Source organism: Homo sapiens, chromosome 15, assembly GCF_000001405.40.
Source record: "Homo sapiens chromosome 15, GRCh38.p14 Primary Assembly".
In the NCBI taxonomy this organism is placed as follows: Eukaryota; Metazoa; Chordata; class Mammalia; order Primates; family Hominidae; genus Homo; species Homo sapiens.
In genome coordinates, this window is record NC_000015.10 from 65,747,421 (window position 1) to 65,769,004 (window position 21,584).

At 38.3% G+C, this 21,584-nt stretch overlaps 1 protein-coding gene across 27 annotated transcripts in view; it reads right to left on the bottom strand.

Annotated features, from left to right (window-relative positions):
* DENND4A (DENN domain containing 4A) overlaps positions 1-21,584 on the bottom strand; it is a 133,171-nt gene that overhangs the window by 88,298 nt on the left and 23,289 nt on the right. For 13 of the 27 annotated variants that reach the window (NM_001376919.1, XM_047432098.1, NM_001144823.2 and 10 more), the window contains exons 2-4: positions 13,940-14,018; positions 8,720-9,052; positions 4,959-5,208 (exon numbers count right to left, since the gene is read on the bottom strand). In NM_001376919.1, coding sequence (NP_001363848.1) covers positions 4,959-5,208; positions 8,720-9,030 — 561 coding nt within the window. In that variant the 5' untranslated portion in view covers positions 9,031-9,052; positions 13,940-14,018. Of the gene's footprint in view, positions 1-4,958; positions 5,209-8,719; positions 9,053-11,389; positions 11,473-13,939; positions 14,019-21,584 lie in introns of all 27 variants that reach the window. The other 14 variants (XM_047432103.1, XM_047432101.1, XM_047432096.1 and 11 more) reach the window with 3 other exon arrangements.

The following is a 21,584-nucleotide window of genomic DNA, read 5'->3' on the forward strand; positions in this document are numbered from 1 at the left end:
TCATTTTACAATCATGTAACAGGCACAGAGAGGTTAAGCTACTTGTCCCAGGTCACACAGCCAGTAATGGTCAGAGATAGGGTACAGACCCAGACACTCTAGAACCAGAGTTTGTGCTCTGAACACACTAATCTATACTGATTTTAATCACTATGAAATACAGATATCCTGTGCTATCTTATTGAGAGGGTTAAAACCAAATTCAGGGTCCCAAAATTTGTACTGTATCCAGCCACATATCAATACACCCCAGTTTTTCGTCTTTTTGCTTCATCTTAACCCTCAGTATCTCATGTTGCTATATTAAGAAAGTAAAAATAGTTTTAAAAATCTGCTTCCTGGCCAGGCACAGTGGCTCATACCTGCAATCCCAGCACTTTGGGAGGCTCAGGTGGGCGGATCACAAGGTCAGGAGTTCAAGATCAGCCTGACCAACGTGGTGAAACCCCATCTCTACTAAATATACAAAAATAGTCAGGCGTGGTGGCGCGCGCCTGTAATCCCAGCTACTCAGGAGGCTGAGGCAGGAGAATCACTTGAACCCGGGAGGTGGAGGTTGCAGTGAGCTGAGATGGCACCACTGCACTCCAGCCTGGGCGACAGAGCGATACTCCGTCTCAAAAAAAAAAAAAAAAAAAAAAAAGGAAAAAAAAAAAGTCTGCTTCCCTACACTTCAGAAAAAGGAACATGAATTTTTAAAAAGTCAACTTCCATAAAAACTTAACACATGTTGAAATGCGTATAAAATCTTTAGATCTTAGCAAAGTGTTAATTTACATAATGATAATAGGACACTGTAAATATCTGCTCTAACATCAAGAAATTAGCTTTTGAGGAAAAATTTAAAAATTAAACAAAATCCACGCAAGATAGGGTGAGAAAAAATAAAATAAAATAAAAAGAAATTAAATTTACAGCTAAGCAAAGTCACTCATGCCTGCAATCCTAGTGCTTTGGGAGGCCAAGGAGGGAGGATTGCTTGAGGCCAGGAGCTCAAGACCAGCCTGGGCAATAAAATAAGACCCAATATCTACAAAAAATTTTGAAAATTAGTCGAGCATGGTGGTGCATGCCTGTAGTCTCAGTTATTTGGGAGGCTGAAGCAGGAGAATCACGTTAGCCCAGGAGTTTGAGGCTACAAAGAGCTATGATCATGCTACTGATGTACTCCAGCCTGGGTGACAGAACAAGATCCTGTCTCTAAAAAAAAAAAAACAAACAAAAAAAACAAAGAAAAAGAAAGAAAGAAATTAAATTTAAAATTTTGTGATTAAAAACCCAATTGTTGGCCAGGCACAGGGGCTCATGTCTGTAATCCCAGCACTTTGGGGGACTGAAGAGGAATGCTGGAGCTCAGGAGTTCAAGACGAGCCGGGGGTATGTAGGGAAACCTCAATTCTACAAAAAAGTTAAAAATTAGCCAGATGTGGTGGTGCACACCTGTGGTCAATCCACTGAGCTGCTCGAGAGGCCAAAGTGGGAGGATCACTTGAGCCCAAGAGGTCGAGGCTACAATGAGCCATGAGCAGTCCACTATACTCCAGCCTGGGCAACAGAACAAGACCCTGTCTCTAAAAAAAAAAAAACAAAAAGAAAAACCCAATTGTTTCTTCAGAGTAGCTGCAGTAGAAAAAAAGAAAAAAGAGACCCAATTGTTGACAAAATTATGAAAAAAAAACCAATATTCTCGTACTTTATTGGTAGGAATTTTAATTGGTTAAACCCTTCTGGATAAAATCTTAATAGTAAATATGCGCTTTGATCCAGAAATTCCAGGACGAACCATAAGGAAATAATTAATGCAGTACAGTGCTCAGGAGTTTGGTTCTGGAGTTCTGCAACCTGAATTGGATCTTGCTTTAACTACTAATTGAAGGTATGATCATGGGAAAGTAACCACCTCTTTAACTCTCAAATTTTCTTCTTTGTAAAATGGGGAGAAAATACCTATTCAGGGTGGTTGTGCAGAACTGAGTTATTGAATGTGAAATACTTAGAACGGTGTATAGCACAGAAGAGCTAAATAAATGTAACTTGTTTTATAGAAGATTTAGTTATAAGTATGTTCGTAACAGCTTGCTTGCAACATTTTTAAAAACCAGAATCTAAAGGTCTTTACAAAAGAGGATAATAAATAAATTGTGGCACATCCATTTAATACAATAATATTTAGCCATTCAATAATATATTTAATACACTGATATTAAGTATATTTAATATTTAATAAATATATTACAATATTATCAACCTCCACAATAAGCAAAGAAATGCAAATTAAAATTAGAACAATTTTGTATTATATAGTCAATAATTAAAAAGTCAATAATTGGTAACAACCAATGTTGGTGAGGTGTGGGAATGTAGGAAATAGCATTCTCATAAACTATGCCTGCTGGGAGTAAAAACTGCCACAGCGTTTTCAGAACAATTATTTCAACACTTTCAAAATGGTCAGCATACTCATGGACCCATCAGTTCCACTTACAATTACTTATTCTTCCAGAGACACTCAAATATCTACAGAAAATGCACAGCATTAATCAAAGTAGCATTACTAGGAATGGAAAAAACTGAAAATAACTTGTATTCATCATTCTGCATTTGTACTTTCTGGAATACTATGCAGTTGTTAAAATAATTAAGTAGAAAGTTAAATAAACTGATAACGATAGAAAAAAGGCTTATATCAGAAATATAAAGAAATTTCCATTTTTTTAATACTATACAATCATAAAAAAAGAATGAAATCATGTCTTGTGCAGCAACGTGGATGCAGCTGGAGGTCATCATCCTAAGCAAACTAATGCAGAAACAGAAAACTAAATACTGCATTTTCTCGCTTATAAGTGAGAGCTAAATATTGGGTATACCTGGACATAAAGATAGGAACAAAAGACGCTGGGGACTACTAGAGGGGGAAGACAGGGAGGAAAGCAACGGCTGATAAACCACCCATTGGGTTCTATGCTCACTATCTGGGTGATGGGTTCAATCACACCCTAAACCTCAGCATCATGCAATATATACCTTTGTAACAAACCTGCAAATGTACTCCGATTTTAAAATAAAAAGTGAAAAAAGAAAAAGGAAATACAAAAAAATTCAAATTAAAAAAAAGGATTAATTTATTATATATACCCCACATATGTGAACACAAAAGGGTCTGGAAGGACACAAGTCAAATTGCTCATTGTTAGCCCTGACAAAACATGGAAGTAGGAACAAGAACCTTCATTTTCTCACTTTCTACTCCATAGATCTACAATTTGTATACTCCTCGCCCTCCAATTTTCTTTGAGTATACATTCCTTTTTTTTTTTAATTTAAAACAGTAATAAAAGAACAAAGACAAGACAGTTAAGGATCATGCATGGGAGGACTTTGGCTTTTACTAAGAGTGAGATGAGAAGCCATTAAGGGTTTTAAGCAGAGTAGTGATAGGATCTGATTTATGTTTTTAAAGGATCACTCTTGTCTATGCAAAGAATATGATAGAGAGAGCAGAAGTGGAAGAACTGATCAGTTAGATAAAAAACTATGGCCTGCATTTGGCCCAAGGTCTGTTCTTGTATATCTAAACTAAGAATAGTTTTTGCTTTTATAAAGGGTTAAAAAAAAGAGATGACTATGAGACAGAGATTGTATGACCTGTAAAACTTAATTTATCACCTAGCTCTTTAAAGAAAAAATTTGCCTGACCCCTGGATTAGGACACTACTGCAATAATCCCATTAAGAGACAATTATGGCTTAGACTAGGGTTATGGCAATAGAGGCGTTGTGAAGTGGCCATGTTCGAGATACATTTTGAAATTATAGCTAACAGAGTTTACAGAAGAACTGAATGAGGAGAAGATAAAGGTTAAGTTTACTCCAAGGTTTTTCAGTGTGAGTTACTAGAAGAATGGAATTTCCATTTGCTAGATAAGGAAGACTATAAGCAGGTTTGGAGAGAAACATCAGGAGTTCAGTTTTGGACATATTAAATTTGAGATGCTTCATTAGATGAGATATTCAAGAAGGGATGATGAATTAGAGAAGTCCAGATTAGACAAATTTAGAAGTCATCCACACGTGGCCTATATTTAAATGATTAGATCACCAAAGGAGTATGTTTAGGTGGTGAAGATAAATGCTTTGAGGACTGAACCATGAGGCACTCCATTGTGTAGGGATGGGGAGATGAAAAGGAATCAGCAAAGGCAGAAAGGGAATGACTGGTGAGGTAAAAGGAAAAAGCAAGAGAGTACCTAAGAAGAGAGTATATTTCTTCTTCATTGCACTGTTTCAAGAAGGAAGAAGTAACCGTTTATGTAGAAACCTGCTGAAAAATTAAAACAAAGTATTGATCTCTGGATATGACAACAAGAGAAATCTTGATGGAGTGATGGAGACAAAAGGCTGACTGGAAAGAGTAAAGTGAGGAATGGGACAGAATATACTCAACTCTTTTTAGAACTTTTACTGTAAAGGATAATGAAATGAGGCAATGAAAGCAGAGGAATATGAGATCAAGAAGTTTTGCAAAGATAAGAAATATTTGCATGTTGGAGGAAATAGGGAGGGAAAAACCAATGATTTACAAAAAAGTAGGGAGGACTGCTAAAGCCATGTCTTCAAATGGGTAAATTGAGATGTGGGATCTAGTCCCGTTGAGGTGTGGGATCTAGTCACAAGTGGAAGGATACTCATTGCTTTTGTAGTGGGCGGGGGGGGTGGGGGATATTATTTTTTTAATTTAAAAAAAAGTACTTTGCATAGTTTCTTTTGAAAGTACAACCAAAGTACTTTCCGAAAAGTAAAATATCTAATATCTTTAAAAACACATTTTTCAATTCTGTAATTAAACTATGCTGTTTTCCAAAAAAAAAAAAAAAAAAAAAAAAAAAAAAAAGATGTATTTAAAATTATGCTCTTTTCATCAGTGGTTAATGTTACCAGTGCAAGTAAGTCACTTACCATACTGTTATTGAGATTCTTGTCGACTTTGCAGAACGTGTGTGGTGGGCTTTCTCCTTTACTGGGTATAATAATACATATGTCAGTGACAGCCAACGTATTCTGAGTCATGTTTTCAGAGGCTCTTCGGTAAGTGATATAAATTCTTTGTGATGAGGTACTCCCACTAATATTTGCGGGGCGCCCATAGGGAGTACTCTGAATAATTTCACAACCCTGTTTCAATCTTTCTTTCCAGTCATATAAAACCCTAAAAATAAATTTTTAAAAATAAATACACAAAGCACTTTAAATATGAAAAGTAATATTCTCAGGCATCATCAACTGATCCTTAAATGTAGTAGCATGGTAAAAATATTCCAATCTTACTGCAATTTTAAAATGCACGGTCTTGTATGAATTAAAGAATAACTCTTTTCCCCACCAAAAACTTTGTTTTAAGGAAAAATTCTGACAAACCATTGTGTTTGTTAATATAAACCAGAGAAAGGTACAATTAAATGTGAAGGTACCTATTTTGGCACATCATTTAATATAGTTATTAATTTATTTTTTGTCTCTAAAACAAGCACCTTCTTTAGAAAAAGCAACTGGGCATTTTGGCCAAAGTTAAAATTTTACAAAAGGTTACTTGCCCAACTGTGTAGAGTCTGCTTGCACGCTTTTATCTCCAATACTTTCCTTAGCTTTAAGAGACAGTTTTAGGCTAAGAGAATGTAACTTCAAATCCATCCTTAATCAAAAGTCTGGGTGAGGCACTAGGCTTTTATTTTCTCTTTATTGGGGTAAAATCATAGGCTTTTAGTACAGGGTGGACCTGGCATCCATTCATTAAGTTTTCTATACTTAAGCACTAAGGAACACTAAAAAAAATAGTGCTTAAATAACATTAGTTTATTCCCTCATTAAATTCATTGATTTGTACTTTAATGCCAAGTCCTTGGCACTAGTAAAAAAATAAAAATAAAATAAGCTATATATGGTTTTTTTGAGACAGAGTCTCGGAGTCTCACTCTGTCACCCAGGCTGGAGTGCAGTGTTGTGATCTCAGCTCACTGCAACCTCTGCCTCCAATGTTCAAGCGATTCTCCAGCCTCAGCCTCCCGAGTAGCTGGGATTACAGGCGTGTGGCACCACACCTGACTAATTTTTGTATTTTTAGTAGAGACAAAGTTTCACCATGTTGGCCAGGCTGATCTCGAACTCCTGACCTCAAGTGATCTGTCTGCCTCGGCCTCCCAAAGTGTTGGGATTACACGTGTAAGCCACTGTGCCTAGCTACAAATTAAATATGTTTCTGCATTTGCTATAAAGCTATAAATTAAATGTGTTTTTGCATTTGCTATAAAACTTGTAACAAGCAATGTCTTCATCATCAATCAATATTTCTCATATAAAATCCACTATACAAATAAAATATAATGCCAAAAACTGGTCAAATTATTTCTTTCTTTCTTTTTTTTTTTTTTTTTTGAGATGAAGTTTCGCTTTTGTTGCCCAGGCTGAAGTGCAATGGCATGATCTTCGCTCACTGCAACCTCCGCCTCCTGGATTCAAGCAAGTATCCTGCCTCAGCCTCCCAAGTAGCTGAAATTACAGGCACGCACCACTACACCACACTAAGTTTGTGTTTTTAGTAGAGACAGGGTTTCGCCATGTTGGTCAAGCTGATCTCGAACGCCTGACCTCAGTTGATCTACCCACCTAGGCCTTCCAAAGTGCCGGGATTACAGGCATGAGCCACTGTGCCTGGCCAAATTATTTCTAATATAAGTTTTAATTTCACTTTTTCTTCTGGCCATCAACAAATTAAAAAAAAATCTTCTCAATATTTTGAAAATTTACAGTTAAATTTGATGCTTAATCATAGCAACTGCATGAATCCTAATGTTAGCTTAAGTGCTTATTCTTCCTTCTTTTGATCTTGTTTTGCTTTTTCTTAACTTAAAAAAGGCACCTACACACAGAGAAGTTAGACAATCTAAATTCAAATTCCCACCACCTGTTACTAGCTGCAGTTCTGTAAGCAGTTACTTAACCTCTCTGAGCCTTATAGTCAGCTATAAAATCTAAACATTTTGGCTTCAAAGGATTCCATAAAGAAAAGTAAAAAGAACCTACAGAAAATATTTGTAAATCATTTAACTGATAAGCGGCTTTATCTAGAATATATTAAGAACTCTTATAGCTCAACAAACAAAAAGACAACCAAATTAAAAATGGGGAAAGGATCTGAATAGACATTTCTCCGAAGATATACAAACTTGTCAGTAAGCACATAAAAAGATGCTCAACATCATTAGCCATCAAGTGAATGCAAATCAAGACCATATGAGATACCATCTCACACCTGCTGGGACAGCAATAATCAAAATAATATGAAATGCTGACTAGGACATGGAGAAATTGGAACCCTCATGTACCGCAAGTGGGAATGCAATATGGTACAGTTTGCTTAGCAGTCTGGCAGTTCCTTAAAAGATTGAACATGGAATTACCATTACGATCCAGCAATGTCACTCCTAGGTATATACAAATAAAAAATGAAAATACATGTCCACATAAAAACTTGCACATGAATATTCATGGCAATATTATTTATAATAGCCAAGAAGTGGAAAAGTCTCAAACATCCATCAACAGATGAATAAACTGTGGTATACCCATATGATGGAATATTATTCAGTCATAAAATGGAATAAAGTACCGACACATACTATAACATGGATGAACCTTGAAAACATTATGCTAAGAAGTCAGTCAAAAAAGATCATATACATAGTATGATTCTATTTATATGAAATGTGCAAAATAGGCAAATCCATAAAGACAGAAAGTAGCCAAAGGCTAAGTGAGTTAGGAAATTGGGTAGCAACTAAGGAGTACAGGGTTTCTTTTTGGCATGATAAAAATGTCATAGAATTTATTGTGGTGATGGTTGCAAAACTCTGAAAATACTAAAAACTATTGAATTGTACACTTTAAATAAATGAGTGGCTGTATGGTATACGAATTGTATCTCAATAATAAAGCACCCTAAGTAAAGCTCTAATTTACCCCAATATCCTTCTTTGATACACACAGTTAACAATCCATCTATAATGGGGCTGGGTGTGGTGGCTCACATCTGTAATCCCAGTACTTTGGGAGGCCAAGGCAGGAAAATCACTTGAGGCCAGGAGTTTGAGACTAGCCTGGGCAACATAGCAAGACCCTGTCTCTACAAAAAAATTAAAAACTAGCCAGATGTGACAGCGTGTATCTATAGTCCCAGCTACTCAAGAGGCTGGGGCAGGAGGATTACTTGAGGCCAGGAGTTTGAGGCTGTAGTGAGCTATGATCATGCCATTGCACTCCAGCTGGGTGATAGAGATTAACCCTGTCCCTTTAAAAAGAAAAAAATCCATCTATACTGATCATTATAACATGCTTAAAAGCCTTTTTTCGTACTTTAAAAATAATCAAAAATTTTCCAATCAGGATAACACTTTAATTTTCTAGTACTTTCCTGCAAATGTTTTTCAAATTCTCTCCCCTGCCTCTAACTGAAAGAAACCCAGGCAAGGTAAGACTGCTGGGAACTTCAGGATAAAGAGAGACAAAAGGAAACAGGGAGAGAATACAGGTTTCTGAATACAAACTTGTGTATTTTTCTAAATCTGCCATACATCTATTAATGACCAGAATGAACAGTTAATCTCCAAATCTACAAGGCATATTATTTGGATCAATAACAGTAAGTCGTTTAAAAAAATACTTACCCCAGATCTGTAAGTGGAGGCTTATCTCTTCCTCTTCTATAGCAAAGGTAAATCTGTGGCCCCACAAGACTTCCATTATTAAGATCAGCTGACAATCCAGTTGGGGTAACATCAATACAGATATAATCCTGTGGGACTTCCTCCCCAAGAGATTTGATAATAACTGAAACATCTGTAATAGGTTCTTTTGGTTTAGCTACTTTATGACAAGCATCATTGAAGTGAATTTCTTCTTCTAGAGGCTTTGAAACATCAGTTAATCCTGCTACAACAAAGTAGTCAGCAACACGAGGCCCCTTGTCTTCAATCATCTTCCATTACAGAAGGTTACATCTAAAAGGAAAGTAAAAGACTAGTACTCCCCTATAATAAGCAAAATAAATACAAGTGGTTTGTGTGCAAATAAGAACAAAAAACTACAAAAAGAGCACTAGTTCCTTGATAAACACAGTAGCATTGTATATTTAACTTACATGTAAAAAGAATTTAACAATAAAAACATCTTTAGCAATCTTTTATTATAAAAGTAATGGATGAATTCCCAATTTTGGCAATAGTGAAACCTACATTACCTAAGTAGACAACAAAAAGAGATCTTTTTAAATGCACAGTCTGGCCAGGTGCAGTGGCTCACGCCTGTAATCCCAGCACTTTGGGAGGCCAAGGCAGGTGGATCACCTGAGGTCAGGAGTTTGAGACCAGCCTGGCCAACATGGTGAAACCTTGTCTCTACTAAAAATACCAAAAATTAGCTGGGCGTGGTGGCAGGTGCCTGTAATCCCAGCTACTCAGGAGGCTGAGGCAGGAGAATCTCCTGAATCCGGGAAGCTGAGGTTGCAGTGAGCCGAGATCGGACCACTGCACTCCAGCCTGGGTAAAAAGAGTGAAACTCCATCTCAAATAAATAAATAAATAAATAAATGCACAGTCGTTCAGTAAACGCTTTTAAATATAAATCTTACACAGACTTGTAAGAATGTAAGGGAAATTCCTAGGTCCCCAAAACACTGAAGAAACCAAAAGTCAGAATGCAGTCTGTAAACTACCACTGAGTGGGGAAATTTACTGATCTCCTCAATAATCAAGAGGCTTGTGTGTTTATTTTGTTTTATTCTTCTGAGATGGGGGGGGGGGGGTCTCACTATGTTGCCCAGGCTGGTCTTGAACTCCTGGGGTCAAGTGATCCTCCCATCTCAGTCTACCAAAGTGCTGGGATTACAGGCATAAGCCACTGCACCTGATCCGGCTTGTGTTTTAGAAGGCATTAAAAGCATGGGAGATAAGCACTTCAGACCACATAGATAGAGAATTGGAACTGAGCCACCTATATAAAGCTGAGAGTTTCAAAGGACTATACTCCCAGCCAAAGAGTGGTTTTAAAAGACCTATCCACTGACACAGGGAGATAATAAAGTTGTAGGGAGGGTAGCGGGGGAGTCTCCTCTGAGAATTCCTAACAATAGGCCTATTCACACTTGGGTTTGGGGTTTGTACTTAAACCATATGGATGGTCCCAGGAAACTACAAACTAAGAAATTAATAATAAAAGCGCTCTCAGGTTGGCCGAGCGCGGTGGCTCACGCCTGTAATCCCAGCATTTTGGGAGGCCGAGGAGGGCAGATTACCTGAGGTCGGGAGTTCAAGACTAGCCTGACCAACATGGAGAGAACCCATCTCTACTAAAAATACAAAATTAGCCAGGCGTGGTGACACATGCCTGTAATTCCGCTACTTGGGAGGCTGAGGCAGGAGAATCGCTTGAACCCAGGAGGAAGAGGTTGTGGTGAGCTGAGATCGCACCATTGCACTCCAGCCTGGGCAACAAGAGCGAAACTCTATCTCAAAAAGAAAAAAAAAAGTGTTCCCAAGCTAGTGATTCCCCTTGAAAAGTAAAACAGTTCTTGAGGGTACAGCCTCAACCCAGGTTTTCCACAGACAAAGCCCAGTGGAAGACAAGTTCCTGTTCCAAAACTACAAAAATGCATACACAAAAGTCTACCAGAAGTTAAGTCTCAGCAGATATATCAAACAGAAGAATTTCAAATAATAAAAGTAGGTAAGAGAGTGTAACAGTAATGCATGCTTACAACAGATTCAAAGAAAAAATACACAAAATAGAATCTATCACATATTTGCAGTCTCCTTTGGTTGTCCGGTATCACTTAATTTTATTTATGTATTTATTTATTTTTGAGACAGGGTCTCGCTCTGTCGCCCAGGCTGAAATGGAGTAGTGCAAACATGGCTCACTGCAGCCTTGACCACCTGGGCTCAAGCAATCCTCCTGCCTCAGCCTCCCATGCAGCTGGGACCACAGGTGTGCACCACCACGCCTGGCTGGTTTGTTTTTGTTGTAGAGATAGAGTCTCATTTTGTTGCCCAGGCTGGTCTCAAATTCCTGGGCTCAAGAGATTCTCCCGCCTCAGCCTCCCAAAGTGTTGGGATTACAGGTGTGAGCCACCATACCCAACCTATTTGTTTCTTTAACTAGGAGAATACATTCCACAGTACCATCATTATTTATATACCACTATTATAGGAAAAAAGTTTAATCTAAAACAATTTCCCAGAGTTTGTTTCATGTTAGACACAGTTCCAATAAGTGCAAAGAAAAGATTCCATGGACAAATAAATTAGGTATACACACTATAGGTCTCTTTGGATACTTACTATATATATAAAAATACTAAATCCTCAGCAGTCTTTTGATAAAGGCAGCCGATAAACTTTGCTTAACTCAGGATTTCCCAAGCCTATTTGAAAAATGAACCACATTTTCCCACTTAACAACTAGAAACAACCCTAAGAAAATGCTAGTTTACAGTAAACAATCTTCCCTTGTAGACCATAAAATCTCAGGGCAAAGACATTCTTACGTAGTATATACTTGTTTACAATATAATTATTAACATTTTCATCAAAATCCCAAAACTCATTTAATTTTCTATATTGCTAATGTCATCAGTTTTCAGAATTCATGACACATTTCTTGGAATCTGTATTCATCACTCAAATATACTCTAAGTATTCCCACTATTTTCTTTAAAAATGAGACTAGGCCAGGCAAGGTGGCTCACGCCTGTAATCCCAGCACTTTGGGAGGCCGAGGCGGGTGGATCACAAGGTCAGGAGTTCAAGACCAGCCTGGCCAATATGGTGAAACCCCATTTCTACTAAAAATAACAAAAATTAGTCAGGTGTGGTGGCATGTGCCTGTAGTCCCAGCTACTCGGGAGGCTGAGGCAGGAGAATTGCTTGAACCCAGGAGGCGGAGGTTGCAGTGAGACAAGATCGCGCCACTGCACTCCAGCCTGGGCGACCGAGCGAGACTCCATCTGGAAAAAAAAAGGAAAAAAAATGGGACTAAAGAAGATTAAATGTTTCTACTTGTTTTATTTACATACTAATGGCGCCTATGCAGCAATTTCCTTACATATAGGATTTCTACATATAATAAAGGGCTTAACCTTTTCAGAAATGCCTCCTAGATGGACACTTAAAAAGAAAGTGCTAACAATCTGTTCTGAGAAGACTGTTAAATGCTGACTTATCACCCTCAGCTCGTTGCATATAACAAGTGCTCCAAAAAAAGAGCAGTTTTACCCAATTGACCATCTATTTATTTAAGAAAGTTGCAGAATAACAAAAGGACTTTTGTGTTTAACTTTTTTTCTCCAGTTCATTAGTCTTTGAAAACAATTTTTAAAGGGCTGCATAGTATTTTATTTTATGGATATACCATTTTTGACCTATGTGCTTACTGTAGATCATTTATTACTTCTACTTATTTTGCTAATTTTTTTTAAAGGGTACAATGAATAATCTTGATAAACCTCTGGACACAACTCTAGTATTTCTTCAGGATACATTTGTTGAAATAGAATTATTAGGTCAAAGGTTATATCAGCCTTTATTTATGTGCTTTCGTGTGTACATGAATTTTATATTATAAGCTCTAAATACACATAACCTTAAAAATTACTCTGGTAAAGTATTTTCATTCCATCATAATGAAGAAACTAAAACATCCTCCTTTTTCCTAGATGCTAACTTTATGTTATTTAAACTAAAGCATGGCCAGGCGTGGTGGCTCATGCCTGTAATCCCAGCACTTTGGAAGGCCAAGGCGGGCAGATCACTTGAGGTTAGGAGTTCGAGACCAGGCTGGCTAACACGGTGAAACCCCGTCTCTACTTAAAATACAAAAAATTAGCGGGGCATGGTGGCGCACGCCTGTAATCCCAGCTACTCAGGAGGCTGAGGCAGGGGAATTGCTTGAACCTGGGAGGCGGAGGTTGCAGTGAGCTGAGATCATGCCACTGCACTCCAGCCTGGGCAAGAGTGAGACTCTGTCACAAAATAATAAATAAATAAATAAATAAACAAACTAAAGCAGGCAAACTAAAGCAGATAGTCACTATTGCATAAAATAGTTTTATGTCTTGCTACGTAGAAAGAAGGGTAAGAGGCCGGGCAGAGTGGCTCATGCCTATAATCCCAGCACTTTTGGAGGCCGAGATGGGCAGATCACTTGAGGTCAGGAGTTCAAGACCAGCCTGGCCAACATGGTGAAACCTCGTTTCTACCAAAAATACAAAAATTAGCCAGGCATGATGGTGCATGCCTATGATCCCAGCTACTTGAGAGGCTGAGGAACAAGAATCACCTGAACGCTGTAGGCAGAGGTTGCAATGGGCCAAGATCAACGCCACTGCACTCCAGCCTGGGCAACAGAGGGAGGCTCTGTCTCAAAAAAAAAGCGGAAACAGAAGAGATATAGTACTATCATGAAAACATATATTTAATAAGTTTTTTTGAGAACTACCACCTTATCCTTGGAAATAACTAGCTATTATAAGTAAATATTTGAGATAAATTTATTCATAAAATTCCTTTTCATTAGTTCTTTTGGGTATTTTTCACAAAATTTAATAATTTGAACTCATTCACAATAGAACGCAGGAAATAACTACTAAAAGGGAACCGTATACTTCACATTGAAGATTTTGTCTCTAATAAATGGTGTTGAATTAATTGTGATCCAAGGCACATCCTGAGACATCTTTCAATGAATTATTTTGTATCATTTGTTACCCATAATTATTACATGGAGAATATATTCCAAATTATTAAGACTTCTGGAAAACTAAGGTTTCACTGTGTTTAACACAGGAAATAGCTAACTGAAACAAATCAAAATGAAAGCCAAAAACTACTTACACATTACCGAAAGTTTCTCTCTGAAAAAGATGACAGATTTCAATGTGTGAACTCCGCAGCCTCAGAGTTTGAGAAATAACTGTATTGAAAACAGTAAGAATTGGACTTAAATTCATTCCAATCAAATATTTCCCCCAATATGCCTGTGGATACTTAAAGTTCTGTTAACAGTGATAATTACTAAACTGATTGCATTTATTGTTTTCTTGTGGTTAAGAGCCAATAAGCAATTTTTAAAAACAAGATTTCAGTAAAGAATAAATACATACTTTAAAAACAAAACATGCTGAAGAGAGGCAATGAGAAAAAAAAAGAAAAAACTAGCAGATAAGGGGGAAAAAAAGAAAGCAAGAAGAATAAATAAGGGTACAAAAGAGGAAATGTGTACAGGGCAAAGAGTGTGAGAAAGAACAACATGACTATTTCTGGGGCACTGTACAGAGCCTCATTCACAGGGGAAAAATGTATACATTTAACATAATTCAAATATAGACTCAAGTAACTTCCATATAAAAAAAAGTTTCAAAGAAGTCAATACCCAAAAGTACTTTCCCTTTATTACAAATTTCAAAGATACTACAGTCAGCCTTCTGTATCCATGAGTTCCACATCCATACCATGGATTGAAAAGATGTTTTTTGTTGTTGTTATTGTTGTTGTTTTTGAGACAAGAGTTTCGCTCTTGTTGCCCAGGCTGGAGTGCAGTGGCTCGATCTCGGCTCACCGCAACCTCCACCTCCTGGGTTCAAGAGATTCTCCTGCCTCAGCCTCCCGAGTAGCCGGGATTACAGGCATGTGCCACCATGCCCAGCTAATTTTGTATTTTCAGTAGAGACCAGGTTTCTCCATATTGGTCAGCCTGGTCTCGAACTCCCAACCTCAGGTGAGCTGCCTGCCTCGGCCTCCCAAAGTGCTGGGATTACAGGCGTGAGCCACCGCACATGGCCTGAAAAGATGTTTTTCAAAAACAATAAAAATAACAGACTGGGCTCAGTGGCTCACGTCTGTAATCCCAGCACTTTGAGAGGCCAAGGCAGGAGGATTGCTTAAGCCCAAGAGTTCAAAGCCAGCCTGGGCAATATAGTGAGGCCCCCATCTCTAAAAAAAAAAGAAGAAAGTTAGTGCCAGGCAGGGTGGCACGTGCCTGTAGTCTCAGCTACTCAGGAGACTGAGGCACGAGAATCACTTGAGCCCAGGAAGCTGAGGCTGCAGTGAGCCCTGATCACACCACTGTGCTCCAGCCTGGGTAACAGAGTAAAGCTCTATCTCCAATGAATGAATGAATGAATGATACAACAAAAAATGTAATACAAATTTAACAAAATAATTCGGTATAACTTTATATAGCATTTAATTGAATTAGGTATTATAGATAATCTAGAGGTGATTTAAAGTATACAGGAGGATGTGTGTAGATTATGTGCAAATACCACACCATTTTACGTAAGGGGCTTAAGTATATGTGGATTTTGGTATCCATCGGGTGGAGGTTGGGGGTATCCTGGAACTAATCCATGGAGGATACCAAGGGGCAAATGTACTTACATAGAATCATTTATATCAAATCTCACCAAGGAACCAAATTCTTCTGAACAAGAGAATAAGCAATGTCATATTACAGAATTCAATATGCCAGTATCTTATTTTTTTAAATTAAGTAATTTAGTAACTTGTAATTATGAGTCATTTTAAACACTAGATGGAAAGATGATGCCACCGACAAAGTCTTAAGAGTAGAGCCAGACCAACTGTATTGTACCAAGCACTATAGGTTAGCTTTAACACTGGACACATGCACACACAAAATGAAGTTCAGTAAGAGTCAATAGCTTCTGCGGGGAAACAAGCACAGAAATCATAAGCACCTCAAGAGGAAGAAACCACAGCTTTAACCAACATGGAATATCTACTAACAACCAGGAAACAGGAGCAGCTACACCCAGACACAAGATTCATCTAACTTGGTTAGGTCCTTGACATGTGTGTGTCTGTGAGAAGTGGAAGAGAAGGGGGTAAGGGCATAAACTGAGTCAAGAATTTAATAAACACCAGGTACAGTGGCTCATGTCTATAATCCCAGCACTTTGGGAGGTTGAGGCGTGTGGATCACTTGAGCTCAGGAGTTTGAGACATGGCAAAATCCTGTCTCTACAAAAAATACCAAAGTAGCCAGGTGTTGGTGGTGCAGTCCTGTAGTCCTAGCTCCTTGGTGGGGCTGAGATGGGAGGATTGCTTGAGCCCAGGAGGTCGAGGCTGCAGTGAGCCTTGTTCACACCACTGCACTCCAGCCAGCCTGAGTGACCAAGCAAGACCTTGTCTCAAAAAAAAAAAAAAAAAAAAAAAATTCGATAGTGTCTTGAAATAGAGGGTGAAAAGAATGAAAGCAAAATAATATATTCATAATCTTATTACCTTTTGAACTGCTAAATATTGTCAGGATAGATATATGTATTTTTAAAATGAGGATGCCAAAAGTTCCCTGAAAAAATTTCAGGGAGTAAATATGCAGTGGTAAATGTACTTTTCAAATATCTCTAAAATGTTATTGCTGACAATTGGCAATGAAACAATGTAAATACTGACTTGCTGAAACATTTTTTAAAATTCAACATCAGTTGTCACAAAAATTTCTAGTAAAAATACTGTATGTATATAGAAATACTTGTAAATTTTGAAAATTATTTATTTTATTGGTAGAATATCAGACTTATTTAGATGTAATTATGAATTATGGATGTGCTACAACCAATTTCAAATACATTTTCTGCTACATTGTTTCTTAATATAGTAAGAACACTGTTTTGACCATAACTCTGCCCCATTAAACTTAATATTTGTATCATTATTCTAAAAACAGGCCAGGTGTGATGGGTCATATCTATAATCCTAACACTTTGGGAGGTCAAGGCAGAAAAATCACTTGAGGCCAGGAGTTCAAGACCAGCCTGGGCAACACAGCAAGACCTCATCTGGACAAAAAAATAAAATTGGCTGGGCATGGTAGCTCACGCCTATAACCCCAGCACTCTGGGAGGCAGAGGTGGGAGGATCACTTGAGATCAGGGGTTTGAGACCAGCCTAGCCAACAGGGCGAAACCCCATCTCTACTAAAAATACAAAAATTAGCTGGGCGTGGAGGCATGTGCCTGTAATTCCAGCTACTCGGGAGGCTGAGACATGAGAATTGCTTGAACCCTGGAGGCGGAGGTTGCAGTGAGCAGAGATCGTGCCACTGCACTCCAACCTGGGCAATACAGCAAGACTCTGTCTCAAAAAAACCCAATAATTAATTAAATTTAATTTTTAAAAGAAATTAAAAAAAAATAACAAGTGGCCAGGCACAGTGGCTCATGCCTGTAATCCCAGCACTCTGGGAGACCGAGGCAGAAGGATCACTTGAGTCAGGAGTTTGAGACTAGCCTGGGCAACATAGTGAGACCCCATCTGTACAAAAAATTTAAAAATTTGCTGGGTGTGGTAGTGTGCACTATAGTCCCAGCTACTTGGAAGGCTAAGGTCGGAGGATTGCTTGAGCCCAGGAGGTTGAGGCTGCAGTGAGCTATGATGGCACCACTGCACTCCAGCCTGGGTGACAGAGCGAGACCCTGTCTCCAAAAAAAAAAAAAAAAAAAGTAACATTTTCTTTGATGTTGAATTCACATTAGCATTCACAATAATATCAAATATTTCCATTCTGATGAATGAACTTCCAAAAACTTTAATTTTATTCCATGAATTGTACGAAAAAAAGAACTATTATTAGAATTAACTGATTTTCTATTTGACACAGAAGATGAGGCTGACACAAAACTGGCATCACTTAAGTGTTTGCAAAGTTCTTCTTCTGCTAATGAAGATAACACATCACAGCTATTGCCTTACTTTCTATACATGCACAAGAAAACCCGGAATAGAAAATTTATAAAATCTATTTAGCAGAGCATCCTTTGATTGTAAATGAAAGTCATGCTCCACAAAGTGATATATGAATGTGCTTCCTGCAGCTACATGTGCTAAGCCATTATCTTTTAACACAGACTTCTTTAAATTGTTATTTTTAATTGAAACTTTTAGTTTGAGATAATTGTAGATTCATATTCAGTTGAAAGAAATAATAGAGAGCTGGTATACCTTTCACCCCGTTTTCTTCAAATGGTAACATCTTGCAAAACTATAGCACAGCTGTATTACTGACATTGATACAATTCACCTGTCTCATCCTGATTTCCCCAGTTTTATTTGTATTCATCTGTGTGTGTGTTTAGTTCTATGCAGTTTTATCACATGTGCATAATACAACATATCCATCACCAAAATCAAGATACAGTACAGTTCCATTACAAGGATCCCTAGTATTGCCCTGTATAAGCACAGTTTTGTCACATGTGCATAAAACCATGTATCCATTACCAAAGACAAGATGCAGCGCACTTCCATCACAAGGGTCCCTAGTGTTGCCCTTTTATAAGCACACACACTGCCCTCCCTGATTCACCCCATTATCCCTAATCCCTGTGGAGTGGTATATTTTTATCACAAAGTACATACGGCCAATGAAATGCAGAGATATATTTCCAAAAACAATACTTTCTTACAAAATAGATGCAGAAGCCGGGCGCGGTGGCTCACGCCTGTAATCCCAACACTTTGGGAGGCCAAGGCAGGTGGATCACGAGGTCAGGAGCTCAAGACCAGCCTGGCCAACATAGTGAAACCCTGTCTCTACTAAAAAATTACAAAAATTAGCCGGATATGGTGGTGCACGCCTGTAGTCCCAGCTACTCAGGAGGCTGAGGCAGGAGAATCACTTGAACCTGGGAAGCAGAGGTTGTGGTGAGCTGAGATCAGGCCACCGCACTCCAGCCTGGGCAACGGAGTGAGACTCCACCTCAAAAAAAAAAAAAAAAAATAGATGCAGAAACAAACCAAAGCACAAAGTATAAGCTTATTTGGCGTGTTGAATGCCTTGTTGGTCACATTCACTCAGGCATCCAGAACATTATACTTGAACATAATTAAACAAACATATAAATACAGTTGACTCTTGAACAACACTGATTTGAACTGTGCAGTTCCACTTACACATGGTTTTCTTTTTTTTGCAATAAATATGTCAGCCCTCAGTATGGGCAATTTTGCATCTGCAACCAACTTGGATCAAAAATATGGTATTGTGGGACACGAAAGCTGCAAAAATAGGCCAGCTTTTTGTATCCACAAGTTCTCAACAGGCAACTGTGGGGCTTGAGTGGATTTTGGAATCCACAGGTGGTCCTGGAACTGGTCCCCAGCAGACAGTGAGGGATACTACACACAGACATATATAGGCACACAAAAGATAAGGAGGGCAGAGAGTGATCATCCATTAAATCCCAATGAAAACCAATCTACTAAATTCTGAGATAAATTTTCCTATCCTGGCTAAGTTCCAGACCGAAAATAAGTGGACAACATAAAATAATGCTACAGAACTACAGTGAGGATTCCTACATATATAAGAACATTAAAAAAAAGGAGTATTATACTGTGTTCAGGGGCAACCCTGTCCCTCACCCAGAAATTAGGTTGCAGCTGAAGTAGCTGCTATTCCCTTGAGAATATGGATCTGTTCTGGACAGAATAAGAACACACTGGAAATAACAGTGTTAATATACAGATACCTCTTGTTTCCAGACCGACTATAAACAATTCAAAGGCAGAAACTTTGTGCTCTACTTTTTGATTCTCTCACATGCATAGCAGTTATAAACACATGGTAGGTGTGTAAATATTTACTCAATGGATGAGGTCAGCACAGTAGAAAAAAATGAGAAAGTTAAAACACCACAGAATCATGGGATTTTAGAGCTAGGAAGGTCCTTAGAGATATTGTTTCAAGTACCTTTAGTATAATTGAACAAACTGAGGCATAAAAATTAACCAGCTTGCCTGTCTAACATACCATATGTCTTATTTATTCTCTCTCTTTCCACAAGATTGTAAGTTCCATGAGGGTACAGATTTTTCTGTTTTATTCACTGCTGCATAACCAGCACCTAGAACAGTACCTGGCAAATAGTATATGGTGAATATCTGTTAAATGAATGATTATTTATTTATTTGGCACAAAGACTCATTCTGTCACCCAGGCTGGAGTGCAGTGGTGTAATTATAGCTCATTGCAGCCTCAAACTCCTGGGCCAAGCAATTCTCCTACCTTGCCTCCCATAAAATGCTGGGATTACAGGCATGAACCACCTGTAATCCAACCAGGAATAATTTTTAAAATGCAACTGATACCATTATCGAGTACCATGGGATGGTCAGAAGTAAAAGAACAGATGTAAACATAGAAACACAAACACATTATTTAAATTTAGTGTTGAATGAAATCAGTAAGAAGCAGAAAGGAATCTACAGCAAAATAGCATTTATATAAACTTAAAACATATATATTAAAGTTAGCATGATAGTTTTCAAAGACATTCAGGATGATATATTAGACATATTCAAATGGACAACTGTGAGGGAAAGGGAATTGGATGAAGACGAGAGATAAAGGAGAATAAAATAAAGCAGGGCTTCATACAAGTTAGTCACAAAAGTATACCATGAAATGAAAAATATGATGAAATCAGTTCTCCGTATCTCAGGTGCTCTTACCCCACTTCCTTCCAGAGAGAAATATGTAACCACTGGTTTCAGCAAACCTCAAATCAGTGTGGAGTGTAGTGGCACGATCATGGCTCACCTCAAGTGATCCTCCCACCTCAGCCTCCTAAGTAGCTTGGGACTATAGGCGCACACCACCACGTCTGGCTAATTTATCTTTTTCTTTTTTTTGGGTAGAGATGCGGTTTTGCCATGTTGCCCAGGCTGGTCTCGAACTCCTGGTCTTGAACTCCTGGGCTCAAGTGATCTGCCCGTGCCGGCATCCCAAAGTGTTGGAATAACAAGCATGAGCTACTGCACCTAGCCTGTTTTTTTCGTTTTGTTTTGTTCTTTTACTTTTTAAAATATAACACACATATAGAAAATGTACAACTCCAGGAATTATCACAAAATAAACACATCATCCATCACAAACACCTCACAGGTCGAGAAATAGTACATTAACAGTAACAGGAAGCCCCCTCCAACCTTCCCAAAGAGAACCACTATCTTGAATGCTAACAGTAGATTAGTTTTTTTCTATTTCTGAACTTTTACATAAATGGAACATGGAAGGACATATAAAGTGTACATTATTTTGGTCCAGCTTTTTTCATTCTACAATGTTTTTTGAGATTTGGCCATACTCATATATAGCAGTTTGTTCATTTTCATTTCTGTATAGTTTTTCATTTTAAGAATACACAATTTTGCCAGGCGCGGTGGCTCATGCCTGTAATCCCAGCACTTTGGGAGGCCGAGGCAGGTAGATTACCTGAGGTTAGGAGTTCAGGACCAGCCTGGCCAACATGGTGAAACCCCGTCTCTACTAAAAAATACAAAAAAAAGAAAAAAATAGCCGGACGTGGTGGCGGGTGCCTGTAATCCCAGGTACTCGGGTGGCTGAGACAGGAGAATTGCTTCAACCCTGGAGGCAGAGGTTGCAGTGAGCTGAGATCACACCACTGCACTCTAGCCTGGGCGACAAGAGCAAAACTCTGTCTCAAAAAAAACC